This window comes from Homo sapiens, chromosome 3, assembly GCF_000001405.40.
Source record: "Homo sapiens chromosome 3, GRCh38.p14 Primary Assembly".
NCBI classification, from domain to species: Eukaryota; Metazoa; Chordata; class Mammalia; order Primates; family Hominidae; genus Homo; species Homo sapiens.
In genome coordinates, this window is record NC_000003.12 from 112,529,183 (window position 1) to 112,555,710 (window position 26,528).

Genomic DNA, 26,528 nt, shown 5'->3' on the forward strand with positions numbered 1-26,528 from the left:
GGCGACAGGACGATATTACTCCCAATATCGCAGGGGTGCACCCCCTGTGAAACACTTCCTAATATCCAGAGGGAGAGAGGATGGTATTACTCCCAATACCGTACGGGGTGTACACAGCCCTGTGATACTCTTCCTAATATCCAGAGGGAGAGAGGATGATACTACTGCCAATATAGCAGGGGGTGTACACAACCCTGTGATATTGTTTCTAATATCCAGAGCAAAAGAGGATGATATGACTCTCAATATCGCAGATGGTGTACACCCCTCCTGTAATATTGTTCTTAATACGCTGGGAGGGAGAGGATAAGATTACATTCAATATCGCAGGGAATATACACCCTCCCCCTCTGATACCCTTCCTAATATTCAGGGGAAGAGAGAATAATTTTACTCCCAGTATCGCAGAGGCAGTACACCCCACCTGTGATATTGTTCCTAATATCCAAGGGGGGAGAGGATGATACTACTCCCAATATCGCAGGGGTGTTCACATCCCCAGTTACATTTTTCCTAATATCTAGGGGAGAGACAATTATATGACAGCAAATGTCGCAGGGTCTGTACATCCCTTCCTGATATTGTTCCTAATATCCAGGGGGGAAGAGGATGATATCAAACATCCAAGGGGGTGTACACCTCCCTCCCCCTACGATATTGTTTTAATATTCATGAGGGGAGACCATGATATTACTCCAAATATCGCAGGGGTTGTTCACACCCCCTGTGATATTGTTTCTAATAGCCGGGTGGGGGAGAAAATAATATTACTTCCAATATTGCAGGTGGTGTATACCCCACCTGAAATATTGTACCGAATATCCAAAGAGGGAGAGGATGGTGTTCATACCACTATCGAAGTGTGTGTACACAATTGTTGGAGGGCTCATACTACTCTATTTCAAGGTTTACCACGCTAATCAAGGTGGGGTGAAGGGCAGGCGTGGTGGCTCATGCTTGTAATCCCAACATTTTGGGAGGCTGAGGCAGACAGATCACTTGAGGCCAGGAGTTCGAAACCAGCCTAGCCAAAATGGCAAAACCCTGTCTCTACTATAAATACAAAAATTAGCCAGACGTGGTTGCACATGCCTGTATAATCCCAGTTACTTGTGAGGCTGAGGCACGAGAATCACTTGAACCAGGGAGGCAGACGTTGCAGTGAGCCGAGATCGCGTCGCTGCACTCCAGCCTGGGTGACAGAGCAAGATTCTGTCTCCAAAAAAAAAAGGCGGGGGGGGTGATATAAGCAAAAGAATAGGCACATCAGTAGAACACTACAATAATAATTGTTTCAGGCAAGATTCATTGATGAATGCTAAAATTACTAAATGAAATTTAATGAGAAACTGGATATTTTTATTACCTCAAAATATCTCTCCCAAAATTTACTGATTACTGCTGTGGCAGTTTCTCGGTTTCTCCAGAAAGCAAAGATTAATTCTTTTCCCTTGTGGCTACAAACTTCTATAGACTTAGTGACTCACTTCTAACAATGGAAAGGAATAAATATTAACTATATAGAGTAGAGAAACCTAGCAGACACCACCTTAACTAAGTACTACAGACTTAGTAGTACTAAATGCAATGAGAAAGGCATAACACAAAGGGAAAGACACGTAACTTCTGTGGTATGCTTCCCCAAAATTCATAACCTCAGGCTAATAATGAGGAAACAACGAACAAACAAATGTAAGTTCAGGAGCACTGTACACAATTTCTGACCATTACTCTTCAAAAGTATCAAAGTCATGAAAGACTTTACACAGAGAAACTGTCACAGATTAGAAGAGACAAAGAGATATGACAACTAAATGCAATATAGTATCGTAGTTTAGATTATGAAATAGAAAAAAAAATAGTGGGAAAACTGAGGAAATGTGAATAAAATCTGTAGTTGATAGAATCAGTGTTAATTTTTTAGTAAAATATTAACATACAGAAAGCTGAGGAGTATACAGGACTCTTGTGCTACCTTTGGAACGGTTCTATAAATCTTTATAAAATTATTTTAAAATTAAAAGTTAAAAAAGTTAATACCATTTATTATGTATGTAAATCAGATGTTTTAAAAGACTATAAAACTAAAATTAGAAATAAACTCGAAGTGAAAATTTGTAAGATTATCCATAATCTGAATTTCAAGCTTTTCCAAACAAATCTATTGTTCATCAAAACTCAGTTTTCAATGAGTGCTATAAATCTGAACTCATAAAAACACATTTATACCATCAACATACCAGCTTTTGTTTATACACTGGATAACCATACAAATATTTCAGTTGTAAAAAAGATCCTGAAATTTAAAAGGTTTGACCAAAAAATTATTTATGCCACCTAGTGGTGACTGAGATAAATATGACCACTTAACAACAAATGAATTGAGGGACTGAAGATGCCTATACTTTTGACAAATAAAACAACTGGGAGAAAAATGCTGACAATGTGATAACATTTAATATTTGAGATCATGTAACTTAAAGATACTCAAAAATAAAACATTCCAGTAAAATCGGTTTAAAACATCAATTTAAGAAAGGGGAGCAGCTTTCTGGCTACATGAGCAAGCAGAATATTTTCAAGTATATTAGAGGATGATGTCCATGTTTATTATCTCCATATTATACCATATCAAACACACAATACCTCCAAATCATTATCTTCATTATGGAGATTTTCTTGCAATACAATAATTGATTGGAAAAGGGAGGAAAATAAAGAAAGCAAGGAGGGTATTCTTAAATGATGAGGAGAAAATAAAACAAAACTATGGACAAGATTAGCCATTCCACTTTGTGCAGACTACTGAAAGAACAAAGATGAAGCATGTAGTGGTATAAAGGGAATAAAGGGCTTAGGTTTTCCTCCTTGGCTTGCAGTATGCATCCTAGAGCAGAAAACTTGCCTTTCTAAACTCCTATACCAAGATCTATAAACTGACATGACAGAATAAACTTATTATCCCTTTAAATTCTAGTATTCTACCAGGCAACCACAATAAATATTCCCGAATCCTTAATAAAAAATAATTTTGGTGATATCAATATCAACTTAACACTACAATTAGGAAACAATAGTACTTAAAGAGTTCATGGCACACAGTAAGCGCTTCATAAATATTAACTATTAGCAGAACAGGAAAAGGTGAGAGAAAACTAGCACACAGTATTTTCTAATCCTAGTTTTGAGACTATTACACACTTAATACCTTCCTCATAAATGTAAACCAAAAATAATCTGTCATCATTCTATATAAGACAGATGTCTTCACTTATTGTTACTTAGGGGAAATCAAATCATAACCTTTTAATAAGACACAAGAAAAACTCTCTTTGCACTGATTTTTATTAAACAAGTAAGGCTGGTAGTGGAACATATTTTTATTTAATGCATAAACATATAAGTCCCTTATTAGAGAAACTGTATATATTGATGAATATGGTCAATGGTCACATCTATGGGTTAATTCTTTAAAAATCAGAACCAATAATTAGGATAGATTTTATGCTCTCTTCATTACATTGTGAAGTGTCTTGTGTAGTCATATTCTATTGTTGGAATGACAGCTTGTACAAATTTCAAGAAAATAAGAAGATACCTAAAGGTTTTTAGCTAAGGAAAATAAGATTTGTAAATAGTTCTATGTTTTAAGCCCATGTTGTAATTATCCATTTTATTAAGCCATTAATTTCTCAAAAAAACCCCACAAAATCTTAAATTAAGTCTATTAAAGAATTCAACTATGCAAATTTGTGTCTATTTAACATGAGGCTCTTTAAGACTACCTGACCACTCATTCGATTATTGAATTTGAAACTTCTTAATGAGTAGGTGTTCATATAAGCACAATTACTTTGACATAAAAAGGACAAAGCTATACATGTTTAAATGAGTACAAAATGTACTCATTTACTAGACTCCTTTAAGTTTGCTAGAGTTATGTCAGAAAATGAGGCAGAATAGACTATAATGAAGTACTATAGCAAAAGAGAAAAAAATTAAATAAAAATCCTGTATAGTAGACTGATTCTAGGTTAGTGTATGTATTTGCCAAAGACTGAGCTCTACTGGACTGTCTTTAATTAAATTCTGAAATTTTTTTATGTTCATTGCACTTAAAAACATTAGGAGCTTACTTTTCATTGGGGGAAACCAATTACTATTATGAATTATATATAGACAGTCTTCCAAGTTGCTACCTAGCATCCAGCAGAGATGTGCCAGTTAGGCATAATAGGACTTCAGGAGTAAATATGGTTTGGACTGGAAGTTTTTGGTTTGTTTCAATATCAAATCAGTTCAAAGTTCTTCTTAGGGACACACTTTATTAGCAATGCCCCACAGTCTGATTAGACGTGGCATCTTAGTCTCCACATCTAATCTAACACATAGTAGCCGAAACCACCACCAAGTCAAGTATTAACCTAGCATCAAACTAATTCAAGCTATCTGGCATGTAAATCATTGATTTTGACTGTTTTTGATAAATCTATGCTATGAGTACATGTACTTTAGGATCCAACAGTTTGCTTGGGCATTAACTTGAATGTATTACTTTTGTCAATCCAAGAAAACTGAGTAGGAAAACTATAGTAAGATACAAGAAAGGTGCTACTGTCTTGAGAAAAATGAACGTACTATATTTTAAGAATATCTAAAGCACTTCACGTAGTACATTACTTTTAATTAACGTATTTGTTTAAGCTGAATTATTTGCTTCAGAGACACCTCAGATTGACACAACCTAATTTTACTTTTACCTGATGGGAAAGTACATTTTTGGTAACATGTTAAACTGGAAATGTACATAAGAAAAAGATACTCATATTATTATTCTAAATTAGTAGTTACCTCTGTAACAAGGGTGAGCTACTGCTACACATGGGGACATGTTCTAATCAACTAAGCAAGGCATAACTATCACAATATAACATTTTCTAAATAAATGAAAGACTTCTACTAGGATTTTCAGATGAGAAGTTAAAACAAGTTATAGCTACTGTATCATTAAGGTTACACTAAATTTCTCAAAAAAAAAATCGTTAACAGCCATTTTGCCACTAATCTTACATACAGGGAAGGATACATATGAACTCCAAGTTCTCCCCCTCCTTCTGCAACAGTCTCAATGATTTTCTTCATCACCTCAGCATGCCTAGAAGCCAAAAAAAAAAAAAATTGTTAATGTAGATCGATTAGACCGAAAGAAGAAAAACATATTTTCATTTGTAAAGAAATCGACCCTATTACTCTCAGTGAATTAATTTTTAATAGTTATATTATAAACTATCTCCCCCACCACTCCCCAATAACTATAAAATATTTATTAAAATAGTTAAATTATAAAATATCTCCCCTCCACTTCCGAAACACAAAAGATAACAGATTGTTATGCCATGCCAACAGTTTTACCAGGGGAGGGCATAATCTTAAAAAGCTATGGTAGTCACAGCAGACACCATGGCATTAGTTAGTGTTCTGATAATTGGGAGAGACAAGGAAGGCAGAAAACCAGAGATGAGGAAATCATTCCAGGAGAAAATGTGGAATGATAGCTGTTTGCTCTAAGAAACAAGAGTCATATCAGGCAAATTAAAAAAAAAAAAAAAAAGACACATGGTATCAGTTGGACAAAAAAGCAAAGAGGTATCTATAATCTTGTGATCTGGGCTGTTTATTTAGCTGAGAATAAGCCAAAACTGAGAGGGTTTAAGAAAAGCTAATTGGTTAGAGTTGAGAGGTTTGTATTTGTTTCTTTGTCCTAATAGGTATTCTAAAATTTATCCAATTCTATGTAAAAATAAATTTTTTGGCTTATAAGAAGAAAGGTATTTATTTATATGAAGTTTTTGTCCTATCTATACATCTTTTCATGGCTAACTGTTCTCTCTCCTGTACTATAGAAAAGAGTGATATCAAAGTTAGTATCTAGGCACAGAAACCAAGAAAAAGATAATTTTTAAAGAAACAGTCTTTTTAACATACCTTGGCTTAAATAATGCTGCTTCAGTTTTTACGACTATAATCTTCATGACAGAGACAGTCAACTTAGAATATGAGAGTAAATGTATGATTCCAGAGGATTTGAAGGCACAATCTGAGGCAGCCCATGGAATGGTCTAAAATGTCCTTGAAGTTTTATTTTATAGGCACTCAGATTTTTTGAAATACTTATATCCCATTCCACAATACAGTCATCTATTTTATTAAAATGTTTAACATAATTACCAGTTATTTTTCCCCCAACTGAGTAAAGTTTATACCTCAGAGAGATACGCTTCAGTTTGATAAGCACCATCCTAAGACCTTAAACCATAAGAGGAATCAAGAGAATAACTCTAAAAACTGAAAACTTTTTAGATTACATAATTCAAAACTAAAACTAATGGCTCCTAAATTATTTTTCATAGTTAGCAAAGTTTCAGACATAATAAAACTGAAAAAATGAGCAAGGTCTTCCACGGAGTTAAAGTTTGAGAGTAAAGAGGTTGCAGAATATGAGAAGAAAATATTAAAGGTTGTTTTTAACTAGAGGGAAGAGAAAACAAAATGTTTCATCTAACTAGTCAACAGAATATGAGTTTCACTGAAAAATATTGTTACTAGTATGTTACCAGTATTTTCCAGTCAACTGGGAAAGTTATCTATTAGAAATAACCAACCTAAAGAAATTGGCATGTAGTAACTGTTTTTTAAGAAAAATTCTGAACTAATCATGTATATAGGTTCAGCTTCACAGATTTGGCTCTGTGAAAAAACACTGATACAAAGAAAATCCCAACTTATAAAATGCACTTGACTTGCTAAGGCTGACAAGCTCTCAACTGAAGAACATACATCCATATATCTCCCTTCACTAATCAATAAAAGAAAGCAAATAGGTCACCTAGAAAAATCACAAGGTTAACTCCACAGTCTACATTCACAGAAAGGCAGTCACAACACAGCAAACCATATCTAAATGACTATTTCTGAGTCAAAAACAGAATCTTCCAAACTGTTCTGGAAGCTAAAAAGTGTAGTAAAATCACAAAGATCCATCTATTCTATAAACACCCACAGAGAACAAAAAAATTCTTAACATATTAAACTTAAAACAAATTGGTAAGTTTTTTTTCCTTTTTCTTATATATTTAAGCACAAGAAAATTTCTAAGGAGGACAAGAGAGAATTTTACTTTTTAGTAAGAAAATTTTTTTCTGTTAGGGTTCTATGTTTAAAGATTCTCAAGTAATAAATCCATGAAATATACAATCACATCAAAAAATATATTTATCTCTACATATACAGACCTGCATGGGTGAACTGAACACATGGGAGGTGGTGGCAGATGAGGGTGATTTTCAATGGTCACTGTTTTCTTCACATGATCCTGACTGATGTCTTCATACATGTGCTCAACTGTTAAAGGCTGCCGTTGCTGAAAGCATAAAAAATGCTTTGAAATTACTATTTAAGGCCGGGTGCAGTGGCTCACGCCTGTAATCCCAGCACTGTGGGAGACTGAGGTGGGCGGATCACATGGTCAGGAGATCGAGACCATCCTGGCTAACATGGTGAAACACCGTCTCTACTAAGAATATAAAAAATTAGCCGGGCAGGGTGGTGGGCGCCTGTGGTCCCAGCTACTCAGGAGGCTGAGGCAGGAGAATGGCGTAAACCCGGGAGGCAGAGCTTGCAATGAGCTGAGATTGCGCCACTGCACTCCAGCCTGGGCGACAGAGCGAGACTCCATCTCAAAAAAAAAAAAAAAAAAAAAAAAAAAAAAAAAAAAAAAAAAGAAATTACTATTTAGAAACTTTCAGCCTAAATCTCAAGGTTTATAATATATTTAGTTCTCCATCTCACATCACTTGCAATTTAGAATTCTAGACTGTTTAGAATGATTTCTGGGAAATTTTACAATTTATTAATATCAAGGGAGGGACAGGAAGGAGTCACAGCCAAGCTCTGTGACAGCTACCCCCAATGCAGAAAAAAAATCTCACAAAAAGACAAGTTTGTGGCTATCAAAACATTTTATAACTTTGTGGCTCATCTTTTAGACTGACTTTATTTTCTTGTTTCCCATGTATAGCCATAAGAATGACAGGTTAAACAAGTTGATTTCCTGTCAATTATCCTTTAATTCAATTAAGTAGATGAGTTTTCTGTCTTAAGGGGAAAAATACATACATACAACAATCCACTCTCTTCACATGTGACATGGTCATTCTGTAAATGCCTATATATCCAACTGATGTAATCCCAAACAAAATTTAATAAAATAAACCAAGTTAAATTTCCCTCACATTTTGAAGGCATAAGCCTTCAAAAAAGGAATATGTAATAGATTATTTCTGTTTATGTCTTAGCATTATTGTTACACTGAATAATTCATAGTTCATTCAAAATAAGAAAGAATCAAGTTCAACATTAATCATAAAACTGTAAAACAGATGATTTCCAAAATGTGAAACACTGCAATAAATACTCATGGACCTAATGAAGAAGAAATTAAAACCCAACAATTTAAAATATTGATATTAAAATATAATGCTTTTCATTTTTACCTCATCATAGCCAAACAACCATAATCGTGGAGTCTGGTAATATTTATCATAAGTGATGTAAAGGTCATAAGTTCTGGTTTGCAAAATAGCATCTTCACCGCCAGCATCAGTTTTGGCTTTACAAGCTTCTACTATTTTCCTTGTATCTAGGGTAGCCTGAAAATAATAAAAGAGAAAAATTTACAACCATTAAATCGGTATGAATGTGACATTCTAGAAAACTTATTTTTTCCATTCTATATTTTGTTTTCTTAAGAGTAAATGAACTTGGAACTCAAAGCTACGTTTTATATGCTATAATCAATATGAACAAATTAGAATGTCTTTGAAAGATCAATATATTATTAGTAAGAACATGCATCCCCAAGTTCATCCATTAAAAATTAACTAAAGAAAACTCAATTTACAAACCTCATCTGTTTCCAACAATCCACTCTCTTCATATTCTGTTATAAAAAAACAACAAAAGATTAATCAAGTTCAAGTTCAAGAAAATTCCCTAAACCAATTTAAGTATTACTTCATAGTATCATTCAAAAACTGGGGTTTTGCCTTTGTTTTTAAGTGAAGATATTGAATAGATAGATATAAGTGAGCTAATTCTATACTTCCAAAGGCGAAAGCCCAGAGAAAGCCAGCATGTTTAAGGCTTGACATAATAATACTGTAGAGTCCTCAGTGGCTCCACAGTGTACACAAGCCTACTTCTGTAACTGCGTAGTCATCGGTGACCTCTTCTTTGCTGAATCCAGTGGTAAATTCCCAGTTTTCATCTTAATTGACCTATCAGGAACATGTGGCATGATTTAGTCCCTTCTCCTTGGAACATACTTTCTTTCCTTGGCTTTTAAAATATTTTCCTGGCTTTCCTCCCTCATCACTGAGTGCTGTTTCAGTATCTTCTATGCTGGTTCCTCTTCATCACCTCTACTTTAAAAAGAACCATAAAATCAAACGCTGCAGTAACCAAGGGCTCAGTTTCTGGACCTTGTCTCTCCTCTAACCACACTTATTTCTGTAACGATTTCATCCAGACTCAATGACTTCAAATACTGATGACTTTCAAATTTATTCCCTGCCTGCGGACTTGGATTATTTATTTTACGTCTCTACTAAATAACTAATGAACACTGCAAATATCACATGTCTGAAACTGAGTTCCTGACTCCCTCTCCAAAGCTAATCACTTTTGATTTTTCCACATCTCAGTTAATGGTATCTTTCTAGAAGCTCAGGTCAAAAACCTTGGAGTCACCCTTGACTATTCCACTTGTCACATATGACATCCAATCCAGCAGCAAATCTCTTTGGCTCAACCCTCAAAGTATTCCAGCATTCTACTGTTTCTCATCCCTACCAATGTTACGACCCTAGCCCAAGCCACCATCATTTCTTGCCTAGATTATCAAACAGCCTCCTGTTGTCCCTTTCTCCCTTCAGTCTATTCTCACCACTGCACAGTGATTCTGTTGAAATGTCACTCCTCTACTTGAAAAACAAACAAACAAACAAAACCCTCCAATGGCTTGTCTCACTCTGAGTAATGTCAAGACCTTATAGAATCTGGTCCCTGGTTACCTCTCTGACTCCACCCTTTACTACTCTCCCTTCTCTCCTATCTGGACATAAGCATACCTTACAATATTTTACATAAGCCAAACGTGTTCCCACCTCAGTACCTTTGCACTCTTCCCTCAAATACCTAGTTTCATTCACTTCCTTCCAGGCTTTATTTAAATGGCGTGTACTTTCAATTAGGTTTTTCTTGACCAATTTATTTAAAAATTGCAATACTCATTCCCACCCCAAGATTCTCTAACCCCTTTCTTCCTTTATTTTTTCCTTAACACTTATAACTAATACTGTATATATTTTGCTTATCTATTTTTTGTCTCCACTGATTAGAATATAAACTCCATGAAATCATGTCTACTGCTTTATCTCCAACACCAAGGACAATACCTGATAAATACTGTACTGCCCAATAAATATTTGTTCAATAAATGAAAATTACCTTTATATTAGATACCATTAACACAACTGTTGAGCAAAATTACATATATAGCAATTCTTTAACTCTATCTAGGGGGAATATAATAAACATACTAAATGACTATCAGATATTTAAGGCAATCCCACAGCTTGTACTTTGAAAACAGTGCTTTACTCGAAGGGTTCTATGCTACCCCACCACCCCAACTTGGTCAACTATGTCATTCAGAGACAGATGAAATTCAGAAACAATATTTGTCCAAGAAAGTGATGTCAGTTTCTGACAACTATGAGACATCCAGGGGGAAATGAAACTGAAATACATCTGAAGTTGAGAATATCTAGGCTACCTCTAGATATGGAAGTCCCTAGCATACAGATGGTATGTGAGGCTGCTGTGATCAATTTTGGTTACAAGTAATTCATTCAGATTTCCTTAAGGAACAGCAGTTTACCATGAAAATAAGGACAAGAATCTCACTAAAATTTAGGAACAGACATAGCTAGGTTTCATGGGGAATTGAAAGTAATTTTGAAAACAAACAGAAAGGTACTTTTGATCTAGCAAGCATCACTTGCCATTATGGTGTTTCAACTCTACTTGGCACCATCTTCTACTTCTGCATGCTACAAAACACAATCTATCTCACTCTAAAGTCTATGTATTTTTGGCATTCAGCTGCCTTACAGCCTTCAATGCCTGCCTTTTTTTCATATTCCTTTCCTTTTTCCAACTTCTTACACATGCACCCTATTTACATATATAAATATATTCATATTTCAACTCTCACAAAGTACTGGATGTAATTTATACTCTATCTTTCTTGTTGCACAAATTTTCATGCCAAACTACAGAATGCCATTATAGAAGAAAAAATCTGGGAGTACAGAGAGTAAGCAAGGGGAAAAAAAAAAGAAACCCACGGAACAGTAACATTTAATAGCTGAGGGAAAGAAAAAGAATCATAGAAGATGACTAGAAGAAAGAGTCCAGGAAAGAGTAAGAAAACCCAGTGTTATAGAAACCAAGAGAGAAAAAAAAAAGAGGAAGATATGGTTAACAGAATCAATGCAGAAAAGGTAAGTGTAATAAAGATAAACTGGATTTAACAAAGAGGTCACCCTGGTGACAGCAATTTTTTCATCTACTTTTAAATATCTGAGGTTTCAAATGTATTGAAAAAGATTATCATGCTCATGAAATACAAAGCTTTGAATAACCATGTGCTCACAGACCCATACTGCTCTGTTCTAGTGGGTTTCTCTCTCTTTTAAGAATGATTCACTAATGCAGTGATTCTCAACTGGCAACTCTAGGAGGAGGACTTTTCAGAATCTTGGGAAACTGATGGGATTCTGTGTAGTTCAAAAGGCCCCATTAGCCAAGCACAGTGGCTCACACCTGTAATCCCAGCACTTTGGGGAGGCCGAGGTGGGCGATCATGAGGTTAAGAGATCGAGACCATCCTGGCCAACATGGTGAAATCCCGTCTCTACTAAAAATACCAAAATTAGCTGGGTGTGGTGGCATGCACCTGTAGTCCCAGTTACTCAGGAGGCAGAGGCAAGAGAATCACCTGAACCTGGGAGACGGCGGTTGCAGTGAGCAGAGATCGCACCACTGCACTCCAGCCTGGCGAGAGTGAGACTCCGTCTCAAAAAAAGAAAAAAAAAAGGCCCCATTGAAACTCACTATCTTCAGGTTTTAATAGAAAGATGCTATCAAAGAGGGAAAAGAAAATACAAAATGCATAATAAGCAAACTTTGTTCTGCTCTGAAATAATTCAGTTAGGAATTAATATCTTGCAGCCGTATCCAGTATTAAATATTTATGACTAATAGTTATTCCAATAAAAATGATATTGTCCAAGACTATGTTTGGAGTAAAATAGAAGAGTCCAAGATCAAGATAAGTTTTACACTAATGAAATTTATGAACTAAACATATATAAAACACTCACTAGGCTGCTAAATGCTAAACTTACAACTCAATGAAGAATTCTTAATCCACATAAATTACAAATATTCTAAATCAATATTCTAGTGGAACTGAAGCAAATCTAGAACAGGAATACCTTCCATATCTGCAGCTTCTCCTTCATCTTCATCTTCTTCCTCTTCACATAGTGCTGAGCAATCTTGAAGCCTTATATTGTCCTTTGAAATTAATTATATTTAAAATCACTTAAGTATATACATTAATTTGAACACTGAACACCCATGTGCTAGCACAGTGGTAACCACTGTGAAAATAAGAATGACAAGGCAGTTCTTGTCCACAAAAACCTTAAACTCCAATGAAGATAATGAATTCATATATCAGTCATTAAAAGTAACGTGCTAAGTGCTGTGACTGAAAAATAACAAAGGTTATTATGGGAGCAGTAAGAGTCATCTAAGCTATTTAAAAATAATTGCCAGTTGCACTTCCAATAAAACAGTATTTTTGGTTAATCAATTCATTAGTATTAGAAAATCAGTTCAAAATTATATTAACTTGTGCACTTATAAGGGGAAAAAGTGCACATATCTGTAAATCAAATATAAGCTAAAATATAAATCAAACACTATTACATTCTAATTTGTTAACAATATCTTAGCTGAATTAGGCAAGTTATCAGACTTTACAGTTATTAAAATGCACAAGATATCAGTTCAATTTCTTAACTATATTAGCTCTAAAGTGAAAGAATATTGATGGACAGGTTTAACATCTGGGTATCGTTTTCACAAAATTAATATTCTGAAAATCTGAAGTCAACATAATAAGTGGATAAACTGAATATTTAGTTTTACCTAGGTTACATTTTACTTAGGGGTGGTTTAATTTAACACTAGAAACTTAAGTCATATGTTTAAAACTTAAATCATTCTTACACCCAAAATTGAAACCACAAAACCACAAAACCATCAGTGTCGGAGTAATTATTATATGAGCTAATATTTAACAAATTAATCATTAAGAAAAAGTTTCATCATATTGGTGATATTTATACTTGATAAAGTAGAATAGAAATTGACAACCAAGATTAATACTTCTGCTTGGATGGCAAGTATTCTAAGTTACAAAAAATACTAAAGGAATTACCATAAGCCCGTCCAAGAAAAACACTACTATCTACACTACTGTGCCATTTATCATTCCCAAAGTCTGAAGCATATATAGTAATGGTCAGAGTAAACAAGATCTTCTAAAACAGCAAAGCAATTTGTGTTATTTCTCCGTAAGTCATTCAAACACTCCAAAAAGTCTAATTTCAAAATGATGAATTCTCAGGCCAAAGAACTAAATCTTAAAGCATAAAACTGTAAATAAAAAAACAAAACAAACAAAAAAAAAACTTGTCTTCGTTTCTATCACTTTCTGTTAAGCCCCAGTAACAAATCTAGAAAGATCCAAATGACAAAAACACACAAAGAATATCTTTAGTAACTGTTGTAGCAAAAGTGTCATAAGACTAGGAACACAATTATTCCATTCAAATAGTCTATCCTCTAAGTGATTTGATGGTTAAAAAAATAATTAAGACAAGGGTGAAAGCATTTTATATTATTTTTTCATATCATTTCAAACAACTACAGGTATATAAAAACATGAAGACAACTGCGGTTGATCTCTCTGAGAAATGAAAAGCTAATCTAATACCTACAACAGCCTAAAATAACTCAAAATTTCCAAGCAAAAAAACTCTACCCAATTATGTTTTACCCCCATAAATCATGCAATAAAACTTAACAGATTAAGCTTCTATTCATTCAAAATGTCATGAATTTGAATGATGCAAGCTAAAGTTTGCTTTCAAATTTTCAAAAACAAATAAACCCCAAATTACCAGTAATTGAAGAAAATACAGAGAGAATGATTAAATTGCTTATGGCACTATTTAAGCTATAAAATTTAAATGTTAATATATCATTAGCATCTACTAGTAAGCAAGTAGTTAATTCCACCCCAACATTCTCCACTTATATGACATTTGGTACTAAATACATTTTAAAACAAAAAAGTCATCTCTTTTAAACTAGCCTAGAAGTTGCTCCAGTCAGTGAAAATTAGTAGTTTGTACAAGTTACAATCTAAAAGCTGTTTTACTTAACCATACTACAAATTAAGGAAAATAAGAGATGCATTAGGCAGCAGTAGTGTTTTGGTGTGTTGAGACAGAAAAATGAATGGGGAAGAAAACAGCTGGAATTTAAAAGAGCTTGATAATAAAAAACCAGGGTTTTTATAAGAAAGATATGGTGATTATATATGTGTGTGTATAGATAGATAGATAGGCAAATAACTACTCATTAAATTTAAAAATATAACTAATTAACCAGTACCTTATTTTCCAGTGTGATCTCTTTAACGGCTTCCGTTATTCCTGTAATACCTATGTAAAATTCGGCAGAAAAGAATAACTAAAATTAAACTGTAAACACCCTATTTACTTATTAAAGCAATATAAAAATGCTGAAAATTCTCACAATTTCTCTGAAATAAGGAGGCAAATAATAGTAGTATCTTTACAAATGAACTCTAATGAGAATAGTCACAATGGCACCTCCTCAAATTTTGAAAAACTCATTAATATTTTACCATGAATTACTTTCCTTGTTTGAATCTCTATCACAACACTTTCTGAGAAACAGAACAGTTTGGCCAGGTGCGGTGGATCACGCCTGTAATCCCAATGCTTTGGGAAGCTGGGGCGGGTGGATCATCTGAGGTCGGAAGTTCAAGACCAGCCTAGCCAACATGGTGAAACCGTTTCTACTAAAAATACAAAAGTTAGCTCAGCGTGGTGGCGTGTGCCTGTAGTCCCCGCTACTTGGGAGGCTGAGACAGGAGAATCGCTTGGACCCGGAAGGTGGAGGTTGCAATGAGCCGAAATCGCACCATTGCACTCCAGCCTGGGCGACAAGAGCGAAACTCCGTCTCAGGGAAAAAAAAAAAAGGAAAGACAAGAGTTTAAAAAAACTACAGGACTCGTATGTACATTTTAATTAAACTTGCATCAAAATTTTCTCAAAAAGCTATTAGTTATCTTAATATAGGCTGATTATCCCTTATCTGAAGTGCTTGGGACCAGAAGTATTTCTGATTTTTTTAGATTTTGGAATATTTGCATAAATACTTACTGGTCAAGTATCCCTAATACAAAAATTCAAAATGCTCTAATGAGCATTTTATTTGAGCATCATATCAGTGCTCAAAAAGTTTTGGCTTTTGGAACATTTCATTTGGATTTTTGGATTAGGGATACTCAATCTGTTTGTTATTTGCTTCAGAAATGTAGGATACCCAAAGGTAGTAATATCATATCACATTTATATGTGGCTTTCTACTATTTCCACATCTTATTTAATCCTCACAATGACTATCTTATGAGGACGTTACAGTAATAATGTCTTCCTATGAAGAAATGAAGTCACTGGAGAGATGACTTGCTTGAGTGTTATACCCAGTCAAATGATGAAATTGGGATTAAAATCCATACAAGCTAACTTTTGGTTCAATTCTCTTGCACTCTACGGGGCAAATACCTCAAAACCTACTTGTCTCAAAGAAAGCCTTAAGAAGGTGGCAGCACCACCAGTCAGCTAGATAACATTTCTACTTCAAAGTACCTGTCAATGTTAACAAAATAGTTTAACAAGAATAAGAAATATAGTAAAACAATAGCATCTAAAGTTACTAAAGAAAAAACCTAAGTACAGAATATGCTTAGCTCCTTTGTTAATCTTCTAAAATTTTGAGATGTCTGTTCAACATGCCTAAACAAAATAAATAGCTCACTTTCACAAATAAAATAGGTCAAAATCCACAGGTCTAGCACAAAGCTTTTACTTCAGTTTTTCTAGAAATTACTATATAATAGGTATGACTATTTCATAACAGTAAAACCCAAATTTTAACATACGAATTGACTGCGGAACATAAAAACAAAGCAAATCAACCTCTTTAATTTGTCAAAATATAATAAGTAGTACGCCATTAAAACACTTCTAGAAGTAGGATACAGTTGACAAAGAAAAAGAAAGCTCAAATGACTCTAATGAGAGTAATACTCTAAAGGGTTATGGTAATTAATTTTATGTCAACTTGGCTAGGTTGTGGCACCCAGATGTTTGGTCAAACACCATTCTAGATATTGCTGAAGGTATTTTTGAGATGTGATGAACATTTAAGTAAGTAGACTGGATAAAGCAGATTACCCTCTACAAGATAGGGGGATATCATCCAATTAGTTGAAGGCCTTGTAAGAAAAAGACTGAGGTCCTCCAGAAGAAGGAATTCAGCCTCCAGAACGCTTTAGGACTAAAGCTGCAATATCAACACTCCCTGAATCTCTAGTCTGCCAGTGTGCCCTGCAGAATTCAGACTTGCCAGCCCATATAATCAGATGAGTCAATTCCTCTAAAAAAAACACAAAAAAACAAAAAACAACAACAACAAACAAAAAAAAACCTATCTACCTATATCTATACCTATACCTATGCAATAGTCCTCACTTATCTGTGGGGAATACATTCCAAGACCCCCAGAGGGTGTCTGAAAGCACAGATAGTACCAAACCCTACCTACGCTGTACATGACAGTCGACCTGATAATCGAGTTGGCTATTAAGTGACTAATGGCTGGGTAGCATATACAGCATGCATACACTAGACAATGGGATGATTCACCTCTTGGGCAGAACGGATCAGGATAGCAGATTTTATCATGCTACTCCCAACAGTGGGGACAAAAATTAAAACTGATGAATTATTTCTGGAATTTGGCACTTAATATTTTTGGACCATGGTTGACTACATAACTGAAACCACAGAAAGCAAAACCTACTCTGTATACATCCTATGGGTTGTTTCTCTAGAGAACCATGACTAATACACAAGCTAATAGAAGAAAACGCCCAGGAAAAGCAAGGATAAAGCAAGGGAAACTGAGTTGAAAAAGGAACCAGTATCTGGCCTCATAAGTCACTAACTTGACATCAAAAACAATGCACAATCAATGGATCCAGTCAGTCAACAGAGAATTTCCTACTGATGTGTTGCCAACATCTTCCAGGCATGGAAAAGTCAAAGCAGAAGAGTTAAAAGACTTTCACTACTCAGTGGGGCGGGGGGAAAGAAGGATGATTTTTGAAATTACTTTTAAAAGTTTTTCAATCTGTTATTTCCTTTAGGCTTTGATATAGCACTCGACTCATTAATAAGCCAATAAATTTCAGATCAAGGAGCCCAAGTCCTGAATCTTTGCCTATAACTCCATAAGGAAAGAGATGGCAGTATCCTTTATTCAGAGTAGGGGAGAAACTGACCTAAGAAGGAACTTTTACCTGGGCAGATACTTAGCCCTCTGTCTACTGCAGTGAGTCTCAACTGAAGGCAGCAATTTTTCCCCCAACAGAACATTCAGCAATTTCTGGAGGCATTTTTGGTTGTTAAAACTGAGGGATGCTACTGGTATCCAGTGGTTACAGGCCAGAGATACTGGTAAGCATTCTACAATGCACAGAAAATAATTATCCATTCCAAAAAACAGTGCCAAGGTTGAGAAACCCTGTTCTATTACTACTAAGGATATACCTCCTAATCTCTAGGACTCGAAGGGAGAAAAACATATTTAGTATCATGGACTTAAACTTAGAGCACATTTTCCATTCCAAAAAACAGTGCCAAGGTTGAGAAACCCTGTTTTATTACTACTACTAAGGATATAACTCCTAACCTCTAGGACTCAAAGGGAGAAAAATTTGTTTTTAGTATCATGGATTTAAACTTAGAGCACATTTTCTTCATCAAAACTAAGTAATAAATGGTAGTTAGCTTCAGCAGCATATGATAATATGCATGTACATAGTTATATAAATATAGTGGCAAAACAGTGTTTTAGGACTTAGAATAAAAAAGTATATTCAGGGTTTCAAATAACTCATAGAAACACTTATAAAAACCTTGCATTCAACTCATTTAACAAATATTTACTGAACAACTTCTACATCATACACTGTGATAGATACTGAGAATTCAACAATGAATCTTTACCTTCATGGAGCTTACAGTACTGAAAATTTCTTTTAGTCGTTATTTAACAAATAATTATTAAATACTTAATAGATGTCAGTTCTCTGGGTAAATGTGAATACAGTATAGTTCCTGTCATAGAGGAGCACATAATCCAGCAATGGAATGACAATGACATGTAAGCAAGAGACTGTAAAGCAAAGTAGTATGCATATTCAGCATCTCTGACGGTCTTTTTTTTCCCTCTCTGTATTTAGAAACTAAGAAAATAATATTTTCAAATTGCAATGGAAGTAGCAGGTATTATAGAAATTTGGCATACTCTGGCCGGGCGCAGTGGCTCATGCCTGTAATCCTAGCACTTTGGGAGGCCGAGGCAGCCAGATGACGAGGTCAAGAGATGGAGACCATCATGACCAACATGGTGAAACCCCATCTCTACTAAAAATACAAAAATTAGCTGGGCGTGGGGGTGCACACCTGTAGTCCCAGCTACTCGGGAGGCTGAGGCAGGAGAATCGCTTGAACCCGGGAGGTGGAGGTTGCAGTGAGCAAAGATCGCACTCCAGCCTGGTGACAGAGCAAGACTCTTGTCTCAAAAAAAGAAATAAATTTGGCATACTCTAAAGGCTTCTTTTTTAAAATTTGTCCTCCTGCTTTTTTCATGTAAGTCTATTGGGACAAAACTATGCCTTATGTATCCTCTTTTTTAAATCAAGGCTATTATAAAAGATTGTGAAAGAGTTTAATTTAAACTAAATATATGTCATTTTATTCTCCTCTTACCTGTGTTGTGATATGTATCTACCCATCCGCCATCACCATCATCTTCTTCAATGATAGCTTCCAATTCATCTGAATATTCCATCTGTTTGCACCGCTTATAGCACGGCACTATAAAAAAAATGGTAAATACAGTTAACTAGCACGTAATCTGCTAACCATAAATCCATTAGAAAGAAGAGAGCTTAGTCCATAAAATAGGGTGTTTATACCACCAAAGTACTAAGTGAATATTTCACTTTTAAAGGTGATTAAGAGTTACATTCAGCTCATAGACACATAATTATTTGGCTACATTTACCTTTTCCTAAATTGCTTTGTCAGAAGACAAGTAGAAAAGCTCTATTGGGAATGTTCTATGCATTCCTTTACCATGATGGTCTGTGAAGAACAGCAGGCTGATGTCAGAGATACATATCATAGTTCAATTTCAGTCTAATGAATAATAATACCTTATTTTAATGGCTTTACTTTCAGAACATGGAGCTACCAGCTATCATAGTCAGTGGTGGTAAAGGTGAACTCTTGTTTTCAAGGCTAAAGTAACTTTCAATATAAATTTTATAATTCATATTTAAGTTCCAGTTATTCACAATGGATAAAACAGTTTAAAATTCACCAACCTTCTGATTTTTACTTCTTTATACCACACTAGTAAGTTGTTCATACAGCAAATGTGTCAATTAACAGGTATTATTATTCATAAGCCTAAGATTGGGTAATTATATGGTAAAAGCATTATGGTATAAGGTCAACAAATTGCTTTTTAATCTCCTGATTTTTTTAAAACAATCAGGATATAAATTATCAGCCTTTGTAAAAAGAAATATGCTGTAGAAAAGAAAAAACTGCTGTTCTGTTCACTTTATTTTCCCTTTCCTATAATGAGTAAATTGGAACAGAAATCAATGTATTGTTTTGTGATTAGTTAGGAACTATAACAACCTTTTGATGTTGTTTTTAAATTTAACTTCATAAATAAAACACTACCTGTTTCAGCCAGGCGCGGTGGCTCACACCTGTAATCCCAGCACTTTGGGAGGCCAAGGTGGGCAGGTCACCTGAGGTCAGGAGGTCGAGACCAGCCTGACCAACATGGCAAAACCCTGTCTCTACTAAAAATACAAAAATTAGCCGGGCGTGGTGGCAGGCCTGTAATCCCAACTACTTGGGAGGCTGAGGCAGGAGAATCGCTTGAACCTGTGAGCCAAAATCAGGCCACTGCACTCTAGCCTGGGCAACAAAGTGAGACTCTGTCTCAAAACAACCAAAAAAAAAAAAAAAAAAACCACTACCTGTTTCAAAATATTTTTGTGTCCTTCAATGACACAACGGATAATAACATCGTCAGCTCTGAGCTTTTAGATGTCATAGGTAGTATGAATTTCATTTGCCATGCAAAATTTCAGTCTAAAGAAGATTAAAATCAAATACCTAGAAAGATTATTATGAAGCCAACTTCAAAAAAATCCACTTAGAAGTCTAACTTTCCTTAGGGCCCTCTTCCTTCGTATCTTGACAACTATATGTTTTTGGCAAAAAGAAATAACAGAAAGAGGTGATAAAACTAAGGAAAAAATTTTCAAGCAATAGAAAAACCGAGAGCTTCATTTTAATATACCTCTACGCAAAATTTATTCATATATGCAACATAATTCTTACCATTTTTGGTTACCAAAAATTGTTTGCCTGTTGGTAGGTATGCCTTCACTTTCAATTCTTCCCCTGTAGCCCTTTAAAAACAGTGAAAAGCACCAAAATACAAAACATATTTTAATAGGCAAATATACAGCAGAAAGTATTGCATATAAATCTCAAAATGATATAATCCATAATTCTCAGAAAATTGGTTTAAAATTGATTTGGGAAGGACTCCATTAAGTAATACATGTCAGGGCATGGAGAAAAGCACAACAATAATCTAAGTGAAACATACTAAGAGATGCAGATAGACCCAAGAGAATTTGGATTAAATATTAGACAAAAAAGGTAGAATAATATAGAACTATTAAGCAACTATTATGTTTGCCTCTAAACAACAATAAAATATGCTGCTCCTCAGTGAGTTGTAGCCCACTGTATAATCTCTCACATTTTTAATCCTAAAGTACTGCTGCTCATCTTGAGAACAAGAAAAGGCAGAAAAAAAAGCTGCATGACATTATGTAACACTGTAGGTGGCTGGCAAAATCCCTGTTCCTATCACTGGATTAAAATCAGAATTAAGAGATAAAAGATGCTCTGAATCATAAAATGACAATATTAATAATTCTTGAAAACAAAAAACCTTTTATTGAGTGCTTATTGAGTATAGAATTTAAGTCTCCAACATGTTATTTTCAATTAGTCTTCATAACTCTAAACAGTAGAACATATAAATATCCCATTTTATAGTTAAGTAAACTAAAGATTAAACAGATCAAGTTGCTTATGATCACAAAACTTGGTGGGAGAGCAAGGGTCAAAGCCAAGTGACTTCAGGGCTCCTACTCTTAAACACTGCTCCCTCTGTGGGTCAGAGCCAACTATCTACAACATTTCTGAGCTGCTCTGGCACCTCTTCTTAAGAATTTGTGGGTCATCTGAAAACGGTGAGAGGTGGAGTGGTATGTGGTGCCTTTCACAAACATATGGCCATAAATTTGGAGTTCAGCTGTCTTTTCAAGCTTCAGTCTAAAGTTCAAACCATAGATCTGGGCACAAGGTAAAGTCAGGAAATGCCCTAATATTATTTGACGGCCTTCTAGACTTCTTTTGACTAGTCCCAAGTGTCAAATTCAACAATGTCATGGCAACACCCGAAGTTCTGAGGAAAGAGTTAAAATAAGGTCATGATAGCACTTGTGCACGTGAAGGCATAAGCATGGAAATAACCTGGCTCTAGTGCTGATTTAAAATGAATTTTTCCTTTGGCCCAGGAATTTAGCCAAAAGTGTGGACACTGAAGTGGGGTATAATTCAGTTCTAAGTTACAATAAAAGTATTTAAATCACTCTAATTCATAAAATGGAATAAAACTACTAGTACCTGCTAAAAAAAGATCCCGTCCATATATACAAGCCCCTACAACAATGCTATAAATCAAATACCTAAACTACTTAATTAAGCTGGTAGAACAAAGAAATCTCAATGAAGAAAATGCTTATCATATAGAAAAAAACCTGAATCAGTTATTTTCACAAAATGAATACTACTGTAAACCTCATTTCCCTATTTGACTTGAAATACATATAAATTATAGACCAGAACCTAGCTAAATATAGTTTTAACAGAAAATCTGGAATACAGAAAGAAAAAAAAACCACCTTTATTAAATCAGAGATCTTCTATGACATGAATTTAATTTTAAATATGGAACAAAAAACACATGTAGGAGAGAAAAATACATAAAAACAAACTTGAAACTTTAGTCTTTTGGTACATAAATAATGCCCTACAAAATAAAGAGTAATTGAAAAAAGCAGTGACAACTGTTTCAGCGACACGGTAAGTATTAAAATGCAGGAGAATACCAGGCCACAGATGAAAGAGTTTGAAGCTAGAAAAACATTATCAATTGGAAACTTATTAATTATAGAATTCCTATCCCCAGTCAAAACTGTACCTTTCAACTACAATTGAAAAACAATTTTTAAGAAAAAAGATATATTAAGTTGAAGCACCTATATACAAACAAGGTGATAATTCCAAACAATCCTAGTTTAAATAAAAGTTCTGCCAATATTGGGATCATTTTTTCAGCTACCAACAGGGAGTCTTTATCGTGAGTACTTGGAAGTAATAAAACACTGTTATTATTCAGAATATTTTAAAATATAGATTGTGAAAACTGCTAAATTGCTTAAGGTACCTTAGTAATTAAAATAAAAGGTATTGAAAAAAAATAAAAACTTAAAGCCTCTTAAAAGCAGATTTATAATGAAGGCCTTAATTGGTATCATAAACCTTTCTTTTAGCTTTAGCCAGTTTCCTAAAGATGGAGCATACTTTTGAACCTAACAGAAAACGTTTATGTTTTATATTTTAAAGAACATAAAACTGCAAAATCTCTGCATTTATTAATGCCACAAACATGTTCAGTAAATTTTGTTAATTTAAAAAAAAAAAACCTGTTCAAAAATTTTTTTTTTTTTTTGAGACGGGAGCCTCTCACTCTGTTGCCCAGGCTGGAGTGCAGTGGCATCATCTCCGGCTCACTGCAAGCTCCACCTCCCAGGTTCACACCATTCTCCTGCCTCAGCCTCCCAAGTAGCTGGGACCACAGACGCCTGCCACCATGCCCAGCTAATATTTTGCATTTTTAGAGATGGGTTTCACCATGTTAGCCAGGATGGTCTCCATCTCCTGACCTCGTGATCTGCCCGCCTCAGCCTCCCAAAGTGCTGGGATTACAGGTGTGAGCCACCGCGCCCTGCCAAAAACCTGATCAAATTTTATTAAACTATTTATTATTCAAAGAACCAGAAGGTCAGACTTAGACACTATAAAGAAAAGAAGTAATAGTAAAGGAAGTAAATGCATTTTTCTCAAATTAGTCCATCATATTGTGCTAACATAGCCAAATAACATAGGTATAACACCCACTTGTTCTTCCTTTATTTTGAAGGGGCATTGTTTAACAGAAGAATCTGCTGGGGGGAAAGTTAAACTGGTCATTCTAATTTTCATCCATTAACCTATTTTGCAAATTGCTATAATTCTGAAGCCATGCATTTTACTAATTTTCTATTCTTTACTCAATATTACTTACCATTGCCATGTTGGACAGTGGTGGACTAGGTGATCTCCAGCTGCCACAAACTATTCAGGATTTAAAAGTAATATGAAAAAAAGGAAAAAGAAAAATCAAACATCACTGAATGTGCAAGGTGGCAAAATACCAAACTGATGGCACTAGGTAACACTGAAATCCAGTAAGCAATAAAAATATAAACAGCAACAAAGCTGCTCTACCAGCCTCAAGATTTATTTTTGATTATGACTAAACTGCAATGTTTTCTAATGTCCATAAAAAAATTCAAATTAATCTTGGAAGAAAAAACAAGTGCTGTTTTTTAAAAATTCAGTTTTTATAATTGGATTAAGTAATGCCAAAAGCAGTATAATGAAATTGATAAATGTAAGGCTATCAGATTTAAATTGTCAAAATCCATTTTAAGGATACAAAAATGTAGACACATTCTTGCCAATGACTGAAAATACAATAAAAATCTGAAAAAAATTACTAAATAGATACAAGTCTATAATGTAAGTCTACTTTATTATATCACTGGGCACACTTCTTCCTCTTCCTCTTTTATTATTTTTAAAAATTTAAGTGATTTTGAAAGCTTTTTTGCACTTCTAAAAGAGAAATGCAGTGCCAAAACAATGGGAAAAAGTTAGAAGCTTTTTGGTCTCACTCTGAAAACACCTACAAAATTAACAAATTGAATTCTCTCTAAAAAACCTTAGACTTCCTAAGCGGGCTGAATATTGTACAAGTTTTTGTTTTTCTTCAGAAATAAAAACCAGATTCAGGGAGATAAACTTTAACCATTTGAGAATTATCAGTTTACACGAACATGAGCTGATCTTACTGGCGAACAGAAATCCTGCTTATTTCTGAGGGCAGAAAATTTAAGTCTGTTAAGCATAACTGCAGTGTCCCAACTCAAGCAGGATGTGCATTGTCAGGCCTCTGAGCCCAAGCTAAGCCATCATATACCCTGTGACCTGCACGTATACATCTAGATGTGCTGAAGCAACTGAAGATCCACAAAAGAAGTGAAAATAGCCTTAATTGATGACACTCCACCATTGTGATTTGTTTCTGCCCCACCCTAACTGATCAAGGTACTTTGTAATCTCCCCCATCCTTAAGAAGGTTCTTTGTAATTCTCCCCATCCTTGAGAATGTATTTTGTGCCATCCACCCCCTGCCCACAAAACATTGCTCCTAACTCCACTGCCTATCCCAAAATCTATAAGAACTAATGATAATCTCACCATCCTTTGCTCTTTTCGGACTCAGCCCGCCTGCACCCAGGTGAAATAAACAGCCTTGTTGCTCACACAAAGCCTGTTTGGTGGTCTCTACACATGGACGCATGTGACACCCACATACTTGCCAAATTACTTCTATTTTGCAACAGCTCTAGCTTAAAATCTTGTATTGTTCATGGGTTTACTACACAGCAAAAAATTACAAAATATTTAATCTCTAATACCTTTGAGAAAGTATGCCTATATAAAATACTCTAGTTTAATTTGAGCATATAATTCTATCAAATAAGAATTCTAAGAATAACCTCTTTTAAGATGAAACATTAACAAGATATAGCAACTGGATTCCTGATAGAAACTTTATGTTTCTGTTCTTTTACTTCGAATAACCTTATTATTTAAACAGCCTAAGTAAAGACAAAAACCAAAATAAAAACAATAGTCTCTTCCCCAAATTTTGAGCACTTCGAGCTCATTGCAACCAGATGCTACATTTAGCTCTGTGGTTATCAGGAACTAATTTATTACCATTAAAAGTAATAATTTAACTAAATGAAAGCAAAATAATTAAAAATAAAAAATTCTTTCATTGTATTGCCTTGAGGTAACAAGACTAACATTTTATCTCATAGTCCCTATAGTATCTTCTATTTAAAAACAAGAACACTAGGAGGCAAGAAAAACGAAAAACAAAAAACAAAACAAAAAAAACACAGACTCACACTGATAATACATGTGTACATCTGCCCTCATTAGCAATGGCCATCATAACTTGCTTCACGTGTTCAAATGATGCAAGATTCAAATTTCTAAATGATCAATATTGCTTGCAATAGCTTTCTCTTAGAGACTAAAAATGTTCTCTTATTATCTTTATTATCAGTATATAATACTGACCAACTCCAACAAGAATCAATATTTACACCTTGGTGAGCAATTCCATTCCTCAAGCTAACCTCAATTAATAGTATTCTACTTAAACAAGTCATACATACATCCAACATTAGTTTTTTCTTTGTTTTTTGACAATACAGTATCAGATACTAGCTGCCCCTCTTTTTAAGCACAATACTGCCACACCTCTGAATGAAAACAAAAAGATAGCTGATGTCTGGCAGAAACTCAGAAACAGCAAGATGAAACAAATGAACAAATCAACTCAGTATATAATATTTACACAAAGCAAATGATGCCTT

The 26,528-nt window shown here is 34.6% G+C and overlaps 1 protein-coding gene across 3 annotated transcripts in view, besides 2 other annotated features; it reads right to left on the reverse strand.

Annotated features, from left to right (window-relative positions):
• Positions 1 to 3,327: 3,327 nt before the first annotated feature.
• Positions 3,328 to 26,528, reverse strand: part of ATG3 (autophagy related 3) — a 29,453-nt gene continuing 6,252 nt past the window's right edge. For 2 of the 3 annotated variants that reach the window (XM_011513074.1, NM_022488.5), the window contains exons 3-12: positions 24,098 to 24,147; positions 21,010 to 21,080; positions 19,351 to 19,458; positions 14,875 to 14,924; positions 12,621 to 12,702; positions 8,964 to 8,998; positions 8,553 to 8,708; positions 7,293 to 7,420; positions 5,087 to 5,155; positions 3,328 to 3,598 (exon numbers count right to left, since the gene is read on the reverse strand). In XM_011513074.1, the coding sequence (XP_011511376.1) occupies positions 3,517 to 3,598; positions 5,087 to 5,155; positions 7,293 to 7,420; positions 8,553 to 8,708; positions 8,964 to 8,998; positions 12,621 to 12,702; positions 14,875 to 14,924; positions 19,351 to 19,432 (684 nt within the window). In that variant the 5' untranslated portion in view covers positions 19,433 to 19,458; positions 21,010 to 21,080; positions 24,098 to 24,147 and the 3' untranslated portion in view covers positions 3,328 to 3,516. Of the gene's footprint in view, positions 5,156 to 7,292; positions 7,421 to 8,552; positions 8,709 to 8,963; positions 8,999 to 12,620; positions 12,703 to 14,874; positions 14,925 to 19,350; positions 19,459 to 21,009; positions 21,081 to 24,097; positions 24,148 to 26,528 lie in introns of all 3 variants that reach the window. The other variant, NM_001278712.2, reaches the window with a different exon arrangement.
• Positions 10,871 to 10,920: an enhancer, noted in NCBI's record as "active region_20244". NCBI's record gives its function as "activates an Ori minimal core promoter by ATAC-STARR-seq in GM12878 lymphoblastoid cells {active_cell/tissue: GM12878}" and the evidence as "EXISTENCE:reporter gene assay evidence [ECO:0000049][PMID:35858748]".
• Positions 11,001 to 11,090: an enhancer, noted in NCBI's record as "active region_20245". NCBI's record gives its function as "activates an Ori minimal core promoter by ATAC-STARR-seq in GM12878 lymphoblastoid cells {active_cell/tissue: GM12878}" and the evidence as "EXISTENCE:reporter gene assay evidence [ECO:0000049][PMID:35858748]".